General features: G+C 46.3%; 1 protein-coding gene and 1 long non-coding RNA gene across 5 annotated transcripts, besides 10 other annotated features; one reads left to right on the top strand and one right to left on the bottom strand.

Moving 5' to 3' along the window:
* Nucleotides 1-1,590: 1,590 nt before the first annotated feature.
* ZNF436-AS1 (ZNF436 antisense RNA 1) lies at nucleotides 1,591-4,459 on the bottom strand. 2 transcript variants are annotated; one of them, NR_033691.1, is made up of 3 exons: nucleotides 3,917-4,212; nucleotides 2,221-2,291; nucleotides 1,591-1,917 (listed from the first exon to the last, which is right to left on the bottom strand). It is a non-coding gene; the product is annotated as a ZNF436 antisense RNA 1 (long non-coding RNA). The 2 variants fall into 2 exon arrangements; NR_033690.1 differs by having other exon boundaries at nucleotides 1,591-4,459.
* Nucleotides 2,128-2,713: an enhancer, noted in NCBI's record as "NANOG hESC enhancer chr1:23697210-23697795 (GRCh37/hg19 assembly coordinates)". NCBI's record gives its function as "activates a minimal SCP1, AML or CMV promoter by ChIP-STARR-seq in naive H9 embryonic stem cells {active_cell/tissue: H9 hESC(naive)}" and the evidence as "EXISTENCE:reporter gene assay evidence [ECO:0000049][PMID:30033119]".
* On the top strand, nucleotides 3,594-13,982 carry ZNF436 (zinc finger protein 436). Of its 3 annotated transcripts, NM_001077195.2 has the most exons (4): nucleotides 3,594-4,064; nucleotides 5,365-5,457; nucleotides 6,262-6,388; nucleotides 10,209-13,982. In NM_001077195.2, exons 2-4 carry the CDS (start codon nucleotides 5,425-5,427, stop codon nucleotides 11,459-11,461), a joined length of 1,413 nt encoding a protein of 470 aa, NP_001070663.1. In that variant the 5' UTR covers nucleotides 3,594-4,064; nucleotides 5,365-5,424; the 3' UTR covers nucleotides 11,462-13,982. The 3 variants fall into 3 exon arrangements, with proteins under 3 accessions (NP_001070663.1, NP_001357581.1, NP_085137.1); NM_001370652.1 differs by lacking the exon at nucleotides 5,365-5,457; NM_030634.3 differs by lacking the exon at nucleotides 3,594-4,064 and having other exon boundaries at nucleotides 5,095-5,457.
* Nucleotides 4,075-4,144: an enhancer, noted in NCBI's record as "active region_361". NCBI's record gives its function as "activates an Ori minimal core promoter by ATAC-STARR-seq in GM12878 lymphoblastoid cells {active_cell/tissue: GM12878}" and the evidence as "EXISTENCE:reporter gene assay evidence [ECO:0000049][PMID:35858748]".
* Nucleotides 4,235-4,304: an enhancer, noted in NCBI's record as "active region_360". NCBI's record gives its function as "activates an Ori minimal core promoter by ATAC-STARR-seq in GM12878 lymphoblastoid cells {active_cell/tissue: GM12878}" and the evidence as "EXISTENCE:reporter gene assay evidence [ECO:0000049][PMID:35858748]".
* Nucleotides 4,875-5,134: an enhancer, noted in NCBI's record as "active region_359". NCBI's record gives its function as "activates an Ori minimal core promoter by ATAC-STARR-seq in GM12878 lymphoblastoid cells {active_cell/tissue: GM12878}" and the evidence as "EXISTENCE:reporter gene assay evidence [ECO:0000049][PMID:35858748]".
* Nucleotides 5,455-5,654: an enhancer, noted in NCBI's record as "active region_358". NCBI's record gives its function as "activates an Ori minimal core promoter by ATAC-STARR-seq in GM12878 lymphoblastoid cells {active_cell/tissue: GM12878}" and the evidence as "EXISTENCE:reporter gene assay evidence [ECO:0000049][PMID:35858748]".
* Nucleotides 5,455-5,894: a biological region, named in NCBI's record as "Sharpr-MPRA regulatory region 11811".
* Nucleotides 5,600-5,894: a silencer, noted in NCBI's record as "tiled region #11811; K562 Repressive DNase matched - State 1:Tss". NCBI's record gives its function as "represses a minimal TATA promoter and a strong SV40 promoter by Sharpr-MPRA in K562 cells {active_cell/tissue: K562}" and the evidence as "EXISTENCE:reporter gene assay evidence [ECO:0000049][PMID:27701403]".
* Nucleotides 15,252-16,087: an enhancer, noted in NCBI's record as "OCT4-NANOG hESC enhancer chr1:23683836-23684671 (GRCh37/hg19 assembly coordinates)". NCBI's record gives its function as "activates a minimal SCP1, AML or CMV promoter by ChIP-STARR-seq in naive and primed H9 embryonic stem cells {active_cell/tissue: H9 hESC(naive and primed)}" and the evidence as "EXISTENCE:reporter gene assay evidence [ECO:0000049][PMID:30033119]".
* Nucleotides 16,422-16,651: an enhancer blocking element, noted in NCBI's record as "230 bp MIR1 fragment used in the reporter constructs". NCBI's record gives its function as "blocks activation of a CMV promoter by a CMV enhancer when located between the enhancer and promoter in transfected HEK293 cells {active_cell/tissue: HEK293}" and the evidence as "EXISTENCE:reporter gene assay evidence [ECO:0000049][PMID:26216945]".
* Nucleotides 16,463-16,596: a mobile genetic element.

The following is a 19,904-nucleotide window of genomic DNA, read 5'->3' as shown; positions in this document are numbered from 1 at the left end:
GCCTCAGCCCCCCAAAGTGCTCGGATTACAGGCATAAGCCACCGCGCCCAGCCCATCTTAAAAATGTTTAAGTATATAGTTCAGTAAGGTTAAGTACATTCATACTGTTGTACAACCAGTCTCTAGAACTCTTCATCTTGCAAACTGAACCTTTATACTCCTTAAATAACTCATTTCCTCCTCCCCTCAAGCCCTGGAAAGCACTATTCTACTTTCTATGAATTTGTATTATTATAGTCTTTGCAGACTGAGAAAACTAAGGTTCTGAGAGTAATTTTTTTTTTTTTTTTTTGAGACAGAATCTCACTCTGTCGTCCAGGCTGGACTGCGTGGCACAATCTTGGCTCACTGCAACCTCCGCCTCCCAGGTTCAAGCAATTCTCCTGCATCAGCCTCCTGAGTAGCTGGGATTACAGGCCCATGCCACCATACCAAGCTAATTTTTGTATTTTTAGTAGATACGGCTTTCACCATGTTGATCAGGCTTGTCTCAAACTCCTGACTTCATGATCCGCCCACCTCAGCCTCCCAAAGTGCTAGGATTACAGGCGTGAGCCAAGTCATTTGTTTTTGGAGAAAGAACCTGGATTTGAACCCAGAGCCCAGGTCATGCTCTGAGCCACTTTGCAATATGTTCACCTCACAGAACATCTGTGATGTGTTTTTCCTCCCCCCATAATAGTGATGGCCATGGTATGCCAAGGCCATCCTCTGTACCATTCTCACATTTAATCCACGCAGCAGCCCTGCAGTCGTGAGGGGTGGTGTCCTATTTCCCAGCTCAGCAGCTGCTACAGAATAGGGTTCAGTGAGTATGGGTCTGTTTGATATCTTTAAGTAGGCCAAATAATACTAAATAAGTTTGTATTGCATTTTTAATGCAATTGTCTACATTTTTAGAAAATATTGATTCTTTTTGGAGAAAACCAGCTGAAATGCATGAGGTCATAAGAGCTTCCCAATCATCTCCACTTCCCCCTCCTCTGCAGAGTCAATCTGCTGCCTCACCCCAGGCCAGTCCCTGGGCAGCCCCGCATCTTTACCTCATCATTAGCATTGCGATTCACAGCCAAAGGCAGAGACAAACAGGGAGACAGGCAAGGGGACATAGGAGACTCTCCGTGCTCTGCTTCCTCCCCCTGCTGCTCCACCCCCACACTATTCCCTCTAGCCATAACCAATCCTGACCAGCCTGGAACATGCTCTGGCCTTTCACGCCTCCGTGCCTTCGCACATGCTGTTCTTGAAGACTGGAATGCTTTCCCTCCCACCTTCTCCACCTCCAAACTCCTACAGTCTTACCAGCTCAGACGTCACCTCCTCCGTGAAGCCTCCCCCCTTCCCCGCCAGCTAGGAGTCCACCCACTCCTGGGTGCAGACGAGCTCACCCCTTATTATAGCACTTGGACTGCAATGACTGTTTGCAAGTCAGTGTGTCCCCCACGTCCCCAACTCCTTGTGCAGTGATGAGCCTTTATCACCCCTCCTAGCAGGGCTCACGAGAAGCCCAGGTCATTTTGATTTTTTGAGGTGCCCCATCTGTTTGAAAATGAAGAGATGACAAAACAGGATTACACACATCAAGGCATGTTTTAAAATGTTTAACAAATTAATGTTTCTGATACAAAAAACTATGACAATTGTGCTGCTCACAAGATAATTATAAAATTTATTAAAAGGTAGGAACTTACAGTGCTCCACAGGCACAGTGGCCTGGTAATAGAGTACAGGTTTAAGGATATACAAGGAGGGTCTTTGATCCCATCAGCCAGTGGAGCCGACATAATGTATAACCTTCTTTAGAGATAATGTTGAAAGCCTAAATTGGAGACCCTGGCCAAACGGCTCTTCTGGCCTCTTTCCCAGTGATGACAGGCTGTCCTGCTGCTTCTACACACAGTAGGTACTCATTGTTTGCTGAATCATGGGAACAAATACAGCTTTCCAAGTTGGTTACTGAAAATCCACATACAGTAAGTATTCCCAAGAAACACTGCAGTCCAGAACAATGGGGCAGGAAGCCACCTCCTCCTCCAGTGACCCCAACCCTGAGTCCAGCTGAAGGCTGCAACAGGAAGCCCCTCAGCCACTGTCCTTCCACTCCCTCTTCCCCACTCCCCCCAGGGGCTCCAGATGCAGTCATGCTTTCCATCCGCTCCCAGCCTCTCTTCTCTTTCCAACCTCTAGAGGGTCCCAGGTGAAGAAAAAAAAAGCACTTACAGAAGGAGGCAGGCAGCCAAGCTGAGCCCGGGGAGTCGTCCTGGGCGCCACCCCGCCCCCGCCCCGCAGGCCTGAGGAATAAAAGAAACAGCAAGAAGACAAAGAAGGGCTTAAAGCACTGGGGCAAAGGGGTGGGGGGAAGGCCTAAGAAAGTTTACAAAGCAATCTGTCAGAGAAGGGATGAAAAGGGACCCCCGCTGGGCTGAGGGGCTCAAGCCCTCAGCTCACCTTAGGCCCAGTTAGAAACCTGCAATTACTTCAGCTAGTCAGAAAGGCTCCCCTCCTCCTTGCTCCAAGGAGCGTGGTTATTAACCTCTGACCCAGAAGTTTCCCTGAGCGTGAAGCCTCAACTTGCTGGGGTTTTGGCAACCCCAAGTACCTATGCTCTACTAGGCTCAACACACCGCTCACTGGAACCCACCAAACTGGCCTAACCTCTGTTGCGTCTGAATTTCTGGAAGAAACACGATGTGAGGATAAAGTCACCCACAGTTCCTCACAGCTATTGAGCCACTTTGATTTCCCAGATTTTCTGAGCTATCCAATATACCCACAAGCATTTCTGGAAGTTTCCCTTACCACCAAAGCCAGGGTTAATAAAAAGTAACGGCTATCATCCAAGAGCGCACTCTCTGGAACGCTTTAATCATCTCACTCACGCCTCACAACATCCTTAGGTATGATGACCCTCATTTTAGAGAAAAGGAAATGGGCCTGGATTCAATGACTTTCCAAAGGATACACAGCCTGGATTCCAAACCAGGCTTGTCTGACCTTGAGGCCCACGCTCTTTCCACTGGGGATACTGCCTCTAGGGGACCCTCCAGGATTCCATTTTATATGGTGCTCAGATCAATTTTATTTTTATAGCCAAATTTAGCAGTGGGGGGTTGTATACTAACTTTAGAGTTATTAATGTTATTAAGTTCTGGTAACCCACTACCATCGGACCAGCCTCGGATCGACTTTAGATGAGGTAGGATGGTATAATTCTGTGACATCTTAAGAATTCTTAGCCCCACAGTTGCGGGTGGAAAGAGAAGGAATGGGAAAGTCTGCATTATGGCTGGGGTGGGTCCTTCTGTTCTTTTTAGACACTTCAGTAATTTAATCATAAATAACCGGGCACTGGGAACAGGACACTCACTAATAAAAGCAAGGCCTGGAGTTATGTTTGAAAAAAATTTTCAAGTTCCTCAGTGGGTGGATCTATCTGCAAAACAAAAGAAAGGCCCCTTTCCCAGCCCAGGCAGAGAAGTCTCCTGTACAGTTAGAGACAACAGGCTTCCGGGCACGTAGCCAAGGTTCTGGGGATATTTATAACTTGAAGAGGGTGGGAGTCCCTAATAAGCTGCTATATTCTTTTTCCATCACTTCCCTCTCCAAGGCTACAGCGAGCTGGGAGCTCTTCCCCACGCAGAATGCCTGCTTTCCCCAGTGCTCGACTTCCATTGTCTAATTCCCTCATCCTGGCTGGGGAAAGGGAGAGCTGCGAGTCCTCCCGTTCCGAGGAACTCCAGCTGAATGCAGCTTAGTTGCTGGTGGTTTCTCGGCCAGCCTCTGTGGTCTCAGGGATCTGCCTATGAGCCTGTGGTTTCTGAGCTGCCTGCGAGTCTGAGGCCTCGGGAATCTGAGTCTTTAGGATCAGCCTACGATATCTGGGCTTCGCCTGCAAGTCTACGAATTCGAGATCTACCTGCGGGTCTGAGACCTCCGGGACCTGCCCGTGCTCTCTAGAATCTTCCTGAACGCCAGGTCTGAGAGAACGCTGCGGCTCTGGAACCCGTTCGCGGTCTCTCAGGTTTTGGAGACGACGATCTAGTGGATCTTTTGCGGGACAGGAGGTAAGTCTGTTCGTCCCCCACTCGGGTTTTCGGCTTCCTACCTTCAACCGGACAGGGACTGCTAACATCCTGAAGGCCCGCCCGGATCAGGGCCTCAGACGCCCAGGGTCCCTTCGGTGCGGGAGGCCGCTGGGAGCCCCTGTAGCAGACAAGCCCTCTGGGACGCTAAGGAGGGCCCGCCCCCCCCGCAGGGGCCTGGCTATCTCCTCCTTACACGCCCTACACCGCCACCCGCTTCTGAGTCCCCCAGGGTTTTCGCCTCCCCGCCGCTGGACGCCACTCAGCCCGCCGCTCGAGGGGCGCCCCCTTGAGAAGGACGCAGTCGCACGCCCCTACAGGGTTAAAGCGCCGAAGCCAAGACACCGCCAGGCTCTACTGCCGACCGCACTCCCGAGTCGCCCCGGCGCGGGGCGGCGCGGGGCCTCTCGGGAGTTGTATTGCGTACAGAGCCGCGCCGCCGCAGGCGCTGTTGGGAGATGTAGTGCGTGGGCGGGGCTCAAAGTTCCAGCGCGGCCTCCGAGTCTCCCCTGGGGAGTGGGCGGCTGCCGCTTCCCTCTCCAGCCTGTGCTGTCAAGCAGGGGCTCATTCTAGCTCAGCTCAACACAGGCCAGCGCCTAAATTGGCCTGACTTCGCAGATAATAAGGCCCGACTCAAGAGAAGCTTCTAGGGACGTGAGGCGAAGCAGGGCAGCCTCTAGCTTAATCGTGCTGCAGTCTCCATAAGAAAAAAGCGAGAATACTCCGCCCTGACTGGGAGGACGCGCTTACTTTTTCACCCTTTTGTTCTTTTCCCTCCTTGGCTTTTGGCCTCTGGCTAGCTTTTGTACGCGGGAGTGGAACTCCAACTCCCGGCAGGCCATGGGGGCAGGCACAGGCGCACTAGAGGCTCTTGGCCAGGCTGTGGGAGGCGGGCATAGTGTTCCGCCTCTGATTGGCAGAGTGGTTCACGAACTTCGCTCGCTGATTGGCTGAGGCAGCTGCCGGAAAGGACCCGGCCTCGAGATGGCAGAGCGGAGGCGTTCCCTGGGCTGAGCTGAGCACCTCCTCCCTGAGACAGCAGCGGTCTAACCCCCGGCGCGGGAGGGACCCAGCCAGGGGGCTGTCCTAGTAGATTCCGGCATTGCCTCCACCCCGCTGTGGCGGAGACGCAGAGGGCGGGTCGCGCTCGAGGGTCAGGGAGGAGAGTGACCCGGCCCTGGTCCAGGGCCCTCCCTGCCCGCCTTGGGGCCAGAACTCCAGCCCTGGGGAGTGGGCAGGGCCTGTTTTCCGTGCCTCACGCCCTGCTTTTCGCCTCCTTCAGCGCTGTCTGCTAGCTGCTTTTCCTGCTCTCTCTCCCTGGAGGCGAACCCTTGTGCTCGAGATGGCAGCCACCCTGCTCATGGCTGGGTCCCAGGTAAGCCGGAGGTGGCTTCTCAGACCTTGTCTCTGCTTACCCACCTCGTCCGGCGTTTCTCTGCTCTGCAAGTCCCTGTGGGAAATTCCCTGGGATTAGTAATTCGCTGGCTTCGATATTCTGCCTCCAGGGGCCTAGTACCAGGCCAGTATAGTCACAAACAAACATATATCGAACACCTGCTGTATGCCTTTAAATACTGGGGAGATAAAAGATGGACGAGATGGGCGCTACCTTCTAGCTCACAGCTCACAGTTCACAATCTGTAGGGAGAAAGGCGCATCCACTTAAGCGTGGCACAACGTAGTAAGTGCTCTACTTGCTGTAGGAACAAAGTGCTGTAGTGTGGGAATCACTCCCAAGAAGTCGGCGTGATTAAGTCTATCTGGGGCATCCAAGGGGAGTGGAGCCGTGCAGAGGGGTAGGGGGCATTGAAGAACAGTTAGTACTGCAGCGGGACCTTAAAGAGTAGTAGAATTTCTCTAGTGTGAGAAGAATATTCCAGGAAAAGAGGAACATTATGAGTAAAGGTATGGAGCGATGCAAGTGCCAGATATGTCCTGAGAAAGTCACAGCCAGAGGATAAAGTTCCTGAGTGGGGCAGGGATAGCTGGCCATGGGACCAGAGCAATCAGCTCATAAATTGCTGCCTTCTTTACCACATCTCTTTTTTGCTTGTTTATTTCTTATTTGGACTCTATAGGTCACATTTAATATATTTTTCCTCCTGAATATTTCTAATCATGTTTCTAATTTCAAGAAGTCCTAAATACAGAATAGTAGGGAAGTATCGTGTGATTTCAGGCACCTGTGACGTTTGAAGATATGGCCATGTATCTCACCCGGGAAGAATGGAGACCTCTGGACGCTGCACAGAGGGACCTTTACCGGGATGTTATGCAGGAGAATTATGGAAATGTTGTCTCACTAGGTAAGTAAGGATTCTACCTTTCTTTGCCTCCACGTTTTTGAGATCGTGTCAAAATGACTTAGTTCTTTCAACACAGCCTAGTGGTTTGATTTTTTAAAGCACTTAATTGGATATTGGCTTGACTTGAGTCCTCAGGCAGATCTTTGAATATGGGAACATCCAGGTCATATTGTCTAAAAAGAAAAAAACTGCTTCTGCACGTCTTAGACGTTCAGATTTCTTGTGCCCTGAGTCATTTTCCAATCTCCAGCCTGTTTGTACAGATCACTGACCAAACAGGTCTGGCATAATAGTGCTTGCCAGAATATAAATGCCCCGTAACTAGTGCTTTTACTCTAGGGTGCTAAAAGATGAGGGGATTCTAACCCAGGTTCATGGGAGGGCGAAAGCCACCTTTTTGTGTTTGTTTTGGCTTCAGAGCCCTAGCTTTGCCTCAAGTTCCTTAGCTGAGTAGATTCTCATCTAGAGATGTTTCAGTGTTGATGATGATAGATTTGTAGTGTGTCAAATGCTGTTCCAGAAGAATGCTGAAATAGATCACAAATTCTATTAGAGAGGGCAGCTGATTTTTTTTTCATGGTCTGCAAGCCTGTCTTCTCTCTTTGCTGTACTTTGGTCTGGGTGTAACTAGAATAAAGAGTATATTCTTGAGCTGAACGGTCTTTTGACTCACTTTGCCTCACTTTGCCTCCTGTCAAGACTTGACAGACATTAGCAAGCGTGTATGGGTCACTAGGTCATTTGCCATTCATTAGGATTAATCCTGTTTTTGAAATCTTTATTCCCATAGCCTTTTTCAGAACAAAAGGCAACTCTGAGGGCTTTCCTTTTTAACTTGAGCTTTCTCTGATGTCCCTAGTTTCTTGAATCCTTTCTTTATAAAAGTAACCATAAATAGTTATCTATCCAGATCTATTGCAGTCTGTAACCCAAATATTCCACTGAATCCAACAAAAGCAAAAAATGACAATCTTTAAAAAATGTGAATTTACAATTCTACAGTTTAGCCCCAAAAGCACTTGTTAGAAGGATGAAAGCGCCAAAAAACTGGTTTCTTGCCCAAATAAGTTTGGGAATGGGAATGGGTTTAAAAATGATTACAAGGCTTTTTTTTTTTTTTTTTTGAGACAGGATCTTGTTCTGTTGCCCAGGCTGGAGTGCAGTGGCACGATCACAACTCATTGCAGCCTTGACTTCCCAGGCCCAGGTCATCCTCCCATCTCAGCTTCCTGAGTAGCTGGGATCACAGATGCGTACCACCTTGCCCGGCTAATTCTTTTTATTTTTTAAAAAATTTTAAATTAATTAATTAATTAATTAATTTTTTTGAAACAGAGTCTCAGTCTGTTGCCCAGACTGGAGTGCAGTGGCCCAATCTTGGCTCACTGCAACCTCTGCCTCCTGAGTTCAAGCAATTCTCCTGCCTCAGCCTCCCGACTAGCTGTGATTACAGGTGCATGCCACCACGCTCAGCTAATTTTTGTATTTTTAGTGGAGACGGGGTTTCACCATGTTGGTCAGGCTGGTCTTGAACTCCTGACCTCAAGTGATCCGCCCACCTCGGCCTCCCAAAGTGCTAGGAATACAGGTGTCAGGCACCATGCTCAGCTTCTTTTTATTTTTTTATTATTTATTTATTTTTTTGTGAGATGGAGTCTTGCTCTGTTGCCCAGGCTGGAGTGCAGTGGCGCGATCTCAGCTCACTGCAAGCTCTGCCTCCCAGGTTCACGCCATTCTCCTGCCTTAGCCTCCTGAGTAGCTGGGACTACAGGTGCCCGCCACCACACTCGGCTAGTTTTTGCGTTTTTTTTTTTTAGAGATGGGGTTTCACCGTGTTAGCCAGGATGGTCTCGATCTCCTGACCTCGTGATCTGCCCACCTCGGCCTCCCAAAGTGCTGGGATTATAGACGTGAGCCACCGCGCCCGGCCTGCCTCTTTTTATTTTTAATAGAAGTGAGACCTCCCTATGTTGCACAGGCTGGTCTCAAACTCCTAGGCTCAAGTGATCCTCCTGCATCAGCCTCCCAAAGTGCTGGGATTAGAGGCCTGAGCTACTGCATCTGGCCTTATAAGGCCTTTTTACCTCAGGATTCCTTAGAACCTTTAATGTGTTATTAGGCATTGTGAATTTTGAAGGAAATGATATTGTATGTACCATTTACCAACCCAGTTTATCCATGAACCCTTTTCTCCCAAAATACATACTTTCTTTCTGAAGAGTGTACTAAGAAACCCAATTTGGAGAATGCAGTGTCTGGTATAAAACTCCTTGTAGACAGTGGTTGTGTATTTTGATTTTCATTTGAAGACTGCATGTGAAATATACTTAGACAATGCCAAGAATGTTCTCAGCCAGACATCTTTTTTGCCTTCTTCAACTTTCCCACTCCTATTTTCATTAAAAGGTCACTGAAAAGTAGGAAGTGACATTTGTCAGTCACTTTTCTGTCAACTATGACATAGGTAAAGATTCATTTTTCTCCATATTAACATAGTTGGTTCTGGCCAGGCACGGTGGCTCACGCCTGTAATCCTAGCAGTTTGGGAGGCTGAGGCGGGCAGATCACCTGAGATCAGGAGTTCAAGACCCGCCTGGCCAACATGGTAAAACCTGTCTCTACTAAAAATACAAGAAAATAGCTGGATGTGGTGGCGGGCACCTGTAATCCCAGCTACTCGGAAAGATGAGGCAGGAGAATCGCTTGAACCCAGGAGGCAGAGGTTACAGTGAGCGGAGATTGCGCCATTGCACTCCGGCCTGGGCAACAAGAGTGAAATTCCATCTCAAAAAACAAAACAAAACAAACAAACAAACAAAAACATAGTGGCTTCTTAGTAAATATTTTATGATGCTACTAATGATGAAGGCTTGGCAAGTTAAAAAATACATACTCACAAAATACCTAGAATCTTGCCTTTTAGATATTCTAATTTAGAGTCTCATATTTTCTGCTTCCAGTGTTCTTTCAAAACACGAATATATATAGTTTTTTTTTTAAGAGACAGGGTCTCGTTCTGTCACCCATATTGGTGTGCGGTGGCACAATCACAGCTTATTGCAGCCTTGAACTCCTGGGCTCAAGTGATCCTCTTACCTCAGCCTCCTGAGTAGCTGGGACTACAGTTGCATGCCACCACATCCACCTAATTTTTTAAATTTTTTTGTAGAGATGGGTTCTCCCTATATTGCCCAGGCTGGTCTTGAACTCCTGGCCTTAAGTGTTCCTCCTGACTTGGCCTCCTAAAGTGTTAGGATTACATGCGTGAGCCACGGCACCTGGCCTGTATAGTTTTCTTAATGAATCATTAATTACAGCGATACAGAATGTGAATTTTGACAGACCTGAGTTTGAATACTGGCTCTACCATTTACTATGGCCTTGAGCAAGTCAATTCACTTGTCTGGGTCTTGGATTTCTCATTAATGAAGTAGAAATAATCACAATTCCTGACTCTCAGAATAGCTGTGATAAAGAATATATGTGACGAAGAATATAAATAATTTAGGCTGGCCACAGTGGCTCAGAAGTTCAATACCAGCCTGACCAATATAGTGAAACCCTGTGTCTACTAAAAATAAAAAAATTAGCCGGGCATGGTGGCGTGCACCTGTAGTCCCAGCTACTCAGGAGGCTGAGACAGGAGAATTGCTTGAACCCAGGAGGCAGAGGTTGCAGTGAGCCAAGATCACACCACTGCACTCCAGCCAAGGCAACACAGTGAGACTCTGTCTAAAAAAAAAAAAAATTTAGTATAGTGCCTGGCACACAATAGGTAATTTTTGTACTTACTAGTCTTATTGTTTACTTTTTATTACAGATTTTGAGATCAGGAGTGAGAACGAGGTAAATCCCAAGCAAGAGATTAGTGAAGATGTACAATTTGGGACTACATCTGAAAGACCTGCTGAGAATGCTGAGGAAAATCCTGAAAGTGAAGAGGGCTTTGAAAGCGGAGATAGGTCAGAAAGACAATGGGGAGATTTAACAGCAGAAGAGTGGGTAAGCTATCCTCTCCAACCAGTCACTGATCTACTTGTCCACAAAGAAGTCCACACAGGCATCCGCTATCATATATGTTCTCATTGTGGAAAGGCCTTCAGTCAGATCTCAGACCTTAATCGACATCAGAAGACCCACACTGGAGACAGACCCTATAAATGTTATGAATGTGGAAAAGGCTTCAGTCGCAGCTCACACCTTATTCAGCATCAAAGAACACATACTGGGGAGAGGCCTTATGACTGTAACGAGTGTGGGAAAAGTTTTGGAAGAAGTTCTCACCTGATTCAGCATCAGACAATCCACACTGGAGAGAAGCCTCACAAATGTAATGAGTGTGGAAAAAGTTTCTGCCGTCTCTCTCACCTAATCCAACACCAAAGGACCCACAGTGGTGAGAAACCCTATGAGTGTGAGGAGTGTGGGAAAAGCTTCAGCCGGAGCTCTCACCTAGCTCAGCACCAGAGGACCCACACGGGTGAGAAACCTTATGAATGTAACGAATGTGGCCGAGGCTTCAGTGAGAGATCTGATCTCATCAAACACTATCGAGTCCACACAGGGGAGAGGCCCTACAAGTGTGATGAGTGTGGGAAGAATTTCAGTCAGAACTCCGACCTTGTGCGTCATCGCAGAGCCCACACGGGAGAGAAGCCATACCACTGTAACGAATGTGGGGAAAATTTCAGCCGCATCTCACACTTGGTTCAGCACCAGAGAACTCACACTGGAGAGAAGCCATATGAATGCAATGCTTGTGGGAAAAGCTTCAGCCGGAGCTCTCATCTCATCACACACCAGAAAATTCACACTGGAGAGAAGCCTTATGAGTGTAATGAGTGTTGGCGAAGCTTTGGTGAAAGGTCAGATCTAATTAAACATCAGAGAACCCACACAGGGGAGAAGCCCTACGAGTGTGTGCAGTGTGGGAAAGGTTTCACCCAGAGCTCCAACCTCATCACACATCAAAGAGTTCACACGGGAGAGAAACCTTATGAATGTACCGAATGTGAGAAGAGTTTCAGCAGGAGCTCAGCTCTTATTAAACATAAGAGAGTTCATACGGACTAAGCTGTAATTATGATGGCTGAGAAATGATTCATTTGAAGATACAATTTTATTTGATATCAATGAACGCCCTCAAGACTGAGCTGCTTTTATCATACTCTCCTAGTTGTGGGCCACGATTTAAACCATCAGAGATGACAAGCCATTTGAAATTCTGACCCTCAGCTTTGGGAATGTTATCTCCTCCAAAATGGTGATTTTTATTCACTCAATGGGTTACTTCATTAAAAGCAGCCCCACAAGTAACTGGAAATCTGAAGACCAGGGGACAAATGCTGGTGAATGCTTAGGCCTGGAAATGGAGTAAATCTTTCAATGTTATTTTCTCCCATCCTTGGCCCAAGGAACTATGCTAAGTGAAACGTGGGACTGTAATAGGGTGGTAATGGCTGCTTTGGAAAAAGGCAACTAGAGACTCTGCCTAAATTGCCACACCTATTCACACACCATAGTAGTTGGGCACACACATCTTCCCTTCCAAAGGGCTTTTTCCTTGAGTTGCTCATGCATTTGTATCTTTTCCATCTTCCTGAGGGCAAGATTTTGCACGATGAAGGCAATGATTGTAACTTTTCTCCTTCTCATTGTTTCTAATTAGCTCCTTTAAAGCTTGCATCTTTGTGAAGGCTAACTGAAGATACGGTTGGAAAGGAAAAATGAGACACAGGTTTGGGGACCAAGGACCCATCAATGATGGTGACTTTAGCAGAAGATGCCCACAGTTATTACTGCCATTAATCAGATTTATGAATTTTCTTTGGGGATCACTATAGGGAATATTGTATAGAAAATATCTTCAAGAAAAGATAGGACCATCAGTGACAGTTAAGTGTAAGGAGCAAGTGGAATTGAGTCCTTCAGGGAAGGAACCACAGAGTCCCTTCCCAAGGAATGTAGGTCGTTTCTGTGTTCTTTCCCTTCTAATCTTTAAGATCAACTCTTCCTATCCTGCTAACTCTAAGATTTGATAAGGGCCACATCCCAGTGTTTATCTTAGCTTGCATCAGGGCATGTGTATGTACAGTAATGTGTATTCCTGTGGTTTTTCTAATAGAAACTGAATTTACAGAGACTTAGCATGTTCTTGGGTGATGTGAGTCATGTGACAGAAGTACAGACATAACTCCAATGTGAGAAATGTCCTTTTTTCATTATGGAAAATAATTTAAACACTAGTGCTTTAGTGTGCACTCTCCTGTAAGGTCTGTCTTTGTACAGAGCTAAGCACTTGTTTGTATGTGTTTGTCAATTGTGGAAGATAATGACCAGACAAATAGGTCGATTGTCCTATTCTCAGAATGAATTATCTTCTATGGTAATGAAGAACTCTTTGGCTTAGTCAGAAGGAATTAACGAACCTCGGTAGGAATGTATTTCCATCCTCCCACCCTACAGATATAAGAGGTTAAAATAACAGTTCGCCCAATTTAAGCCCAGTAGTGTCAGTTTTCCTAATCTCAGTCCAGGTAGGAATTAAGAAATATCTCAAGTGTTGATGCTATCCAAGCATGTTGGGGTGGAAGGGAATTGGTGCCCAGAAAATGGGACTGGAGTGAGGAATATCTTTTCTTTTGAGAGTACCCCCAGTTTATTTCTACTGTGCTTTATTGCTACTGTTCTTTATTGTGAATGTTGTAACATTTTAAAAATGTTTTGCCATAGCTTTTTAGGACTTGGTGTTAAAGGAGCCAGTGGTCTCTCTGGGTGGGTACTATAATGAGTTATTGTGACCCACAGCTGTGTGGGACCACATCACTTGTTAATAACACAACCTTTAAAGTAACCCATCTTCCAGGGGGGTTCCTTCATGTTGCCACTCCTTTTTAAGGACAAACTCAGGCAAGGAGCATGTTTTTTTGTTATTTACAAAATCTAGCAGACTGTGGGTATCCATATTTTAATTGTCGGGTGACACATGTTCTTGGTAACTAAACTCAAATATGTCTTTTCTCATATATGTTGCTGATGGTTTTAATAAATGTCAAAGTTCTCCTGTTGCTTCTGTGAGCCACTATGGGTATCAGCTTGGGAGTGGCCATAGATGACCGCATTTCCATGACCTAACTGTATTTCACCCCCTTTTCCTTCCCTACTGTTCTTGCCCCACCCCAACCAGTTCCTGCTGCTGCTTTTGGCTTCTTGGAGGTGAAGGGCTTAAAACAAGGCTTCTAAGCACCCAGCTATCTCCATACATGAACAATCTAGCTGGGAAACTTAAGGGACAAGGGCCACACCAGCTGTCTCCTCTTTCTGCCAATTGTTGCCCGTTTGCTGTGTTGAACTTTGTATAGAACTCATGCATCAGACTCCCTTCACTAATGCTTTTTGCATGCCTTCTGCTCCCAAGTCCCTGGCTGCCTCTGCACATCCCGTGAACACTTTGTGCCTGTTTTCTATGGTTGTGGAGAATTAATGAACAAATCAATATGTAGAACAGTTTTCCTTATGGTATTGGTCACAGTTATCCTAGTGTTTGTATTATTCTAACAATATTCTATAATTAAAAATATAATTTTTAAAGTCAGCAAACCTGAGAATTATTTTAGTAACCCAGCACTGATTCATTTAATGGCTTTTCATCAGAGTCATTAAAATTGGGCATGATTGTCTTTACACTGATGCATTCCGTACAGATGTACAGATATATTACACAGATGTTCTGTAGGAATTTGGGAGTACAGTATCTTGAGCCCTTTGGTTATTGCCATATCTTGGGAAGATGAAAAAACCTGAGTAGTTTTCTACGAAGGTTATGCTGGTGACAGAAGCCACATAGGAATATTTGGTATGGGTGACTCATTAGCTTTGGGGAAGGAAAAAAAATCCAAAAAGAAAAATGAGAGAAGGCCTTGTTGCTTTAAGGAGATATTTTGGAGTATTCATTAAGAATACTAAGTCTGGGTGCGGTGGCTCACGCCTGTAATCCCAGCACTTTGGGAGGCTGATGCGGGTGGATCACCTAAGGTCTGTATTTCGAGACCAGTGTGGCCAATATAGTGAAACCCCATCTCCAGTAAAAATACAAAAATTAGCTGGGCGTGGTGGCATGCGCCTGTAATCCCCATTACTCGGGAGGCTGAGGCAGGAGAGTAGCTTGAACCTGGGAGGCAGAGGTTGCAGTGAGCCGAGATCACACCACTGTACTCCAGCCTAGGCAGCAGAGCGAGACTCTATCTCAAAAGAACAAAACAAAACAAAAATACAACTAAAACAGTTTCTACCACACTAGGATTGGGTTCCTAGAACAGATACTTCTTAGAAGCAAAGGTTCTCTATTCGTAACAGTTGTACAGTCTGCCTAAGGCTGTAATTAGGTATTACCAGGGTGTGGCCACAATTTTCAAATTACTTACAAGTAATTTTCTCTCAAATCTTTTTTTAAATGGACAGCCAGCCTTGGCAAAGGTAGGGATGGAAGTGTTTTACATTGGGGGAGAATATAAATATCAAAGAAATGTTTTTAATTTTGTAGCCAAGACTTGCAATAGGAGAAACTTTATCAAAAAAAAAACACAACACTTTTTTTTTTTTTTTTTTTTGGGACAGAGTTTTGCTCTGTCACCCAGGCTGGAATGCAGTGACATGATCACAGCTCATTGCAGCCTGGACCTCCCCAGGCCCAAGTGATCCTCCCCACCTCAGCCTCCTGAGTAGCTGGGACCACAGGTGTGTGCCACTACACCTAGCTAATTCTTTTTATTATTTTTTTAGAGATGGGGTCTCCATATTTCGCCGAGGCTGGTCTCAAACTCTGCAGCTCAAGTGCTCCGAGTCAGCCTCCTAAAATGATGGCTTGCAGGTGTGAGCCACCAGGCCTGGCCCCAGAATATTATTTAGGCTACTCTAGGCCACTCTGCCTGTGGGTGAACCCTACTCTATCTATAGAGCAGCCAAAAGTATATATACATGTAAACTCTTAGCCGGGCGTGGTAGCAAGCGCCTGTAGTCCCAACTACTTGGGAGGCTGAGGCTGAGTTCGAGGCTGCAGAGCAAGACCTCATACCTTAAAAACAAAAGCAAAAAACAAACAAAAAACTCTTCTTACTGCATGTTGAGCATTTTTCATTGCTGGGAAGGAAAGTTAAGGGAAGATGCTAATTCACCTGGAGAAGTGTAGCTCAAGAGCCTCCCTCTAAGACTATTTGATATGTTAGTATCTTGACATTGTTATTATTATTGAGCAAATTTCCTTCTGTGTGAACTGTTCTCTAAGACCCTAGAGGTAGGTTAGGACTGTGTTTCCAGGCCGTTAGGATATCACTGAGTGCACTGAAATGATAATTTGTTAAGTGGTTCCCTGGTGTTTTAGAAGTTAGTGTAGCTCCCAAAGGAGTTCCCAAGCCCTGGGAGAAACTGACTCTTTGGAAGCAGTTGTTAGATACCCACCTCTGCAGTAGAGTAGCAGATGTAGGCCCTGCTTATCAATAGGAGACTTCAAGAACTGAAAGACTGTTAAGATCGTTAGTGAAAAACAGCTGAATTAATGGGAGACAATTACCCTGTAATGACCTAAAATGGGTCCGTGGGAAATCCCATTGCATGATCTGTTTTTCTAAATGCTTCATTCCCAAAGTTTATATCATTTTCAGCTTCTCTAAAAGTGGTTTTGTTTTATTTTTTCCTTTTGGGAAAGATTGAGGCTGATGACACCAAAATCTGGCAGAGTTTCACACCAGCCCCTGCAGCTGCTTTCTGGACAGCTCTGCTTGGAAATTATCCATCAAAGCATGAACAAAATAACAAAACTAAGTTAAAAAATTATAATAGGAAATTACCCAGACATCTTGAAATCAAACCCTGAACTCAACTTGCCACATTTTCCCCTACTCCCTGCCTGCTTCTCCTGTTCCTAACTCAGTCATTGCCCACTTATCCAAGCTAGAAACTTGCACATCATACTTAACTCCCGTTCCTTTAGCCACCCTCCCCAAATCAGTAACAAATACTGTGTAACTATGTATCCAGTCATGCCCATACCACCTCCTAAATAGTTCTCAGATCCTTCTGCCTGGTTCTCTCTACTGCCACCACTTACCATGTGACTTTGGGCAATTATTTAGCTTTTCTGTTCCTTGGATTCCCCATCCGCAAATGGGAGTAATTATGTCTACCTCATAGAGTTGCAAAGATTAAATGAGATCACGGGGCTCAAATTATTAGCAGCAATTATTCAGACCATCACTGGGCCATATCTCGCTTACTGAAACGACCTCCTAATGAGTCTCCTCTTTTCTATTTTGATTCCCGTCAGTCTTTTCTCCCTTTCTGCTAGAACAATCTTTCTGAAAGGCAAATCCTTTCATGCCGCTCTTCTGTGTAAAGCCCTGTCATGCTTCCCATTGCCAGCAGCAAACAGTGAACCTCCTTTGGTGTGATTTCTGAGGAGGTCATTCATGATCTGGCCTCTGCCGCTCTCCCCAGCTCTGGTTCCCTCCTCTTTTCCTGCACTTGCTCTTTCCTGCACACTCCAAGCTGCATCTCTCTCTCCACTCTTCTGGCCAACTCCTACTCAGCCTTCAGGTCAAATACCTGACTTGCTCTAGGAAACCTTTCCCAATCCCATAAGACTGGATCAGGTGTTCCTTTTCTGTTTTTCCTGGGTTTATCCCAATCAAAGCACTTTATCCCTGTTTTGTAATTGCCTGCTTACTTTTTTGTCTCCTCCATTAAACTTTGATATCTTTGAAGAAGTCACTGTCTTGCTCACCATTGTGTCTTCAACCCCCAGCAAATGTTTGGCGTAGAATAAGCAGGCAACAATAAAATAAGGAGAATATACATAAACTTTATTCCCTTCATATTTCTGATTGTCACCACACCAAGCTACTCTTTTTTGGTAGGCAGAGTCTCACTCTGTCACCCAGGGTGGAGTGCAGTGGTGTGATCTCGGCTCACTGCAACTTCCACCTCCCAGGTTCAAGCTGATTCTTGTGCCTCAGCCTCCCGAGTAACTGGGATTACAGGTGCCTGCTGTCACGCCCAGCTGTTTCAGTATTTTTAGTAGAGACGGGGTTTCGCCATGTTGGCCAGGCTGCTCTCGAACTCCTGGCCTCAAGTGATCAGCTCACCTCGGCCTCCCAAAGTGCTGGGATTACAGGCTGTGAGCCACTGCGCCCGGCCGGTACTCATTAAAAGAACTGTAGAAATTCTGTCATTAGTGCATCTGATGAGGCCTTCTGGAAAGAGGAAGAAGGCTTCCAGAAGTAATGTGACCCATCTAAGATCCTCCAGGTAAAGCTGAGGTAAAGACTCTCACTCTGTCACCCAGGCTGGAGTGCAGTGGCACGAACACAGCTCACTGCAGCCTCAACCTTCTGGGCTAAAGGGATCCTCTTACCTCAGCCTTCCCAGTAGCTAGGACCACGGGCATGCACCACCATGCCCAGCTAATTTTGTTTTTCATTATTTGTAGGGGTGGGGTCTCCCTATGTTGCCCAGGCTGGTGTTGAACTCCTGGGCTCTAGGGATCCTCCTGCATCAGCCTCCCAAAGTGCTGGGATTGCAGGAATGAACCAATGCACTCAGCAGAGTATGCTATTAAAGGAACCAGAACATGCAAAGAGGAGGAGTCTGGGATTAGGGATAAAGATTACAAGTAAATGAAGTCACTTAACAAAAATTCATTGAGCACCGCCGGGCGTTCTGGCTCATGCCTGTAATCCCATCACTTTGGGAGGCTGAGGCAGGTGGATCACCTGAAGTCAGGAGTTCGAGACCAGCCTGGCCATCATGGTGAAACCCCATCTCTACTAAAAATACAAAAATTAGCTGGGTGCGGTGGTGGGCATCTATAATCCCAGCTACTCGGGAGGCTGAGGCCGGAGAATCGCTTGAACCTGGGGGGCGGAGGTTGCAGTGAGCCAAGATTGGGCCACTGTACTCCAGCCTGGGTGACAGGGCGAGACTCCGTCTCAAAAAAAAAAAAAAAAAAAGCCGGGCGCAGTGGCTCATGCCCGTAATCCCAGCACTTTGGGAGGCCAAGGTGGGCAAATCACGAGGTCAAGAGTTTGGGACCAGCCTGACAAACATGGTGAAACCCCGTCTCTACTAAAACTACAAAAAAATTAGCTGGGCGTGGTGGCACATGCCTGTAGTCCCAGCTACTCGGGAGGCTGAGGTGGGAGGGTCACTTGAACCCAGGAGGTGGAGACTGCAGTGAGCCGAGATTGCACCACTGCCCTCCAGCCTGGGCAACAGAGGGAGACTCCGTCTCAAAAAAATAAATACAAATAAAAATAAAAAAATAATAAAAAAAATTCATTGAGCACCAACTTATGTGCCTGGTATAAAACCGAATGAGACAAAGATTCTGCCCTTGTTGAATTTCTATTTTCTGGGGAGAGGGACAATAAACAAAGACATGTATAATGTTAGCTGGTAACAAGCATAATGAAGACAAATAAAAGAGACTGCTTTTAGAGGAAGTGGTCATGGAAAACCTCTCTAAAGAGGTGGCGTTTGAGCATATCTCTGACTAAGACATCAGGATATCTGGGGTAAGTGTTCTAACTACTCAGTTTATTGAAGAGCAAATGTGAAGATGCTGAAGCAGCAGTTGGTATGCTGGAGAAACCACCACCAGGGGGTCGCTATGAGTGGGGCTCAGTGAGGAAGGGATCACACGGTAGGAGATAAAAATCATCTTATAGTCATTTAGTTTGAGGAAACTGTTACATCCAAGCATATATTCATATGCCCAGCAGGCAGTTGGAAATATGAATCCAGAGCTCAGGACCAAACGTGGTACTATAAATAAATGGGAGGCCGGGAGCAGTGGCTCACGCCTGTAATCCCAGCACTTTGGGAGGCCGAGGCAGGCGGATCACTTGAGGTCGGGAGTTTAGACCAGTCTGACCAACATGAAGAAACCCCGTCTCTACTAAGAATACAAAATTAGCTGGGCATGGTGGCACATGCCTGTAATCCCAGCTACTCGGGAGGCTAAGGCAGGAGAATCGCTTGAACCTGGGAGGCGAAGGTTGCAGTGAACCGAGATCAGGTCATTGCACATTGCACTCCAGCCTGGGCAGCAAGAGCGAAACTTCGCTAAAAAAAAAAAAAAAATAGGGAATAGGCCGGGCACAGTGGCTCACACCGGTAATCTCAGCACTTTGGAAGGCCAAGGAGGGTGGGTTGCTCGAGCCCAGGAGTTTGAAACCACCCCAGACAACATGGTAAAACCCCATCTCTACAAAAAAAATTTTTTTGAAAAAATTGGCTGGGCATGGTGGCACACGCCTGTAATCCCAGCTACTTGAGAGGCTGAGGTGAGAGGATCACTTGAGCCTGGGAGACAGGTTGCAGTGAGCAGAGATCGTGCTATTGCACTCCAGCCTGGGTGACAAGACCCTGTATTAAAAATAAATACATACAAGGAAAAAAAAAAGAGAGATGGGAATAGCTAGTATCTGCACGGAGATGGTAGTAGTAGTGAAACCATGCAAGT

Source organism: Homo sapiens, chromosome 1 (genome assembly GCF_000001405.40).
Source record: "Homo sapiens chromosome 1, GRCh38.p14 Primary Assembly".
NCBI lineage: Eukaryota > Metazoa > Chordata > Mammalia > Primates > Hominidae > Homo > Homo sapiens.
This window is presented reverse-complemented; position numbering and strand designations above follow the sequence as displayed.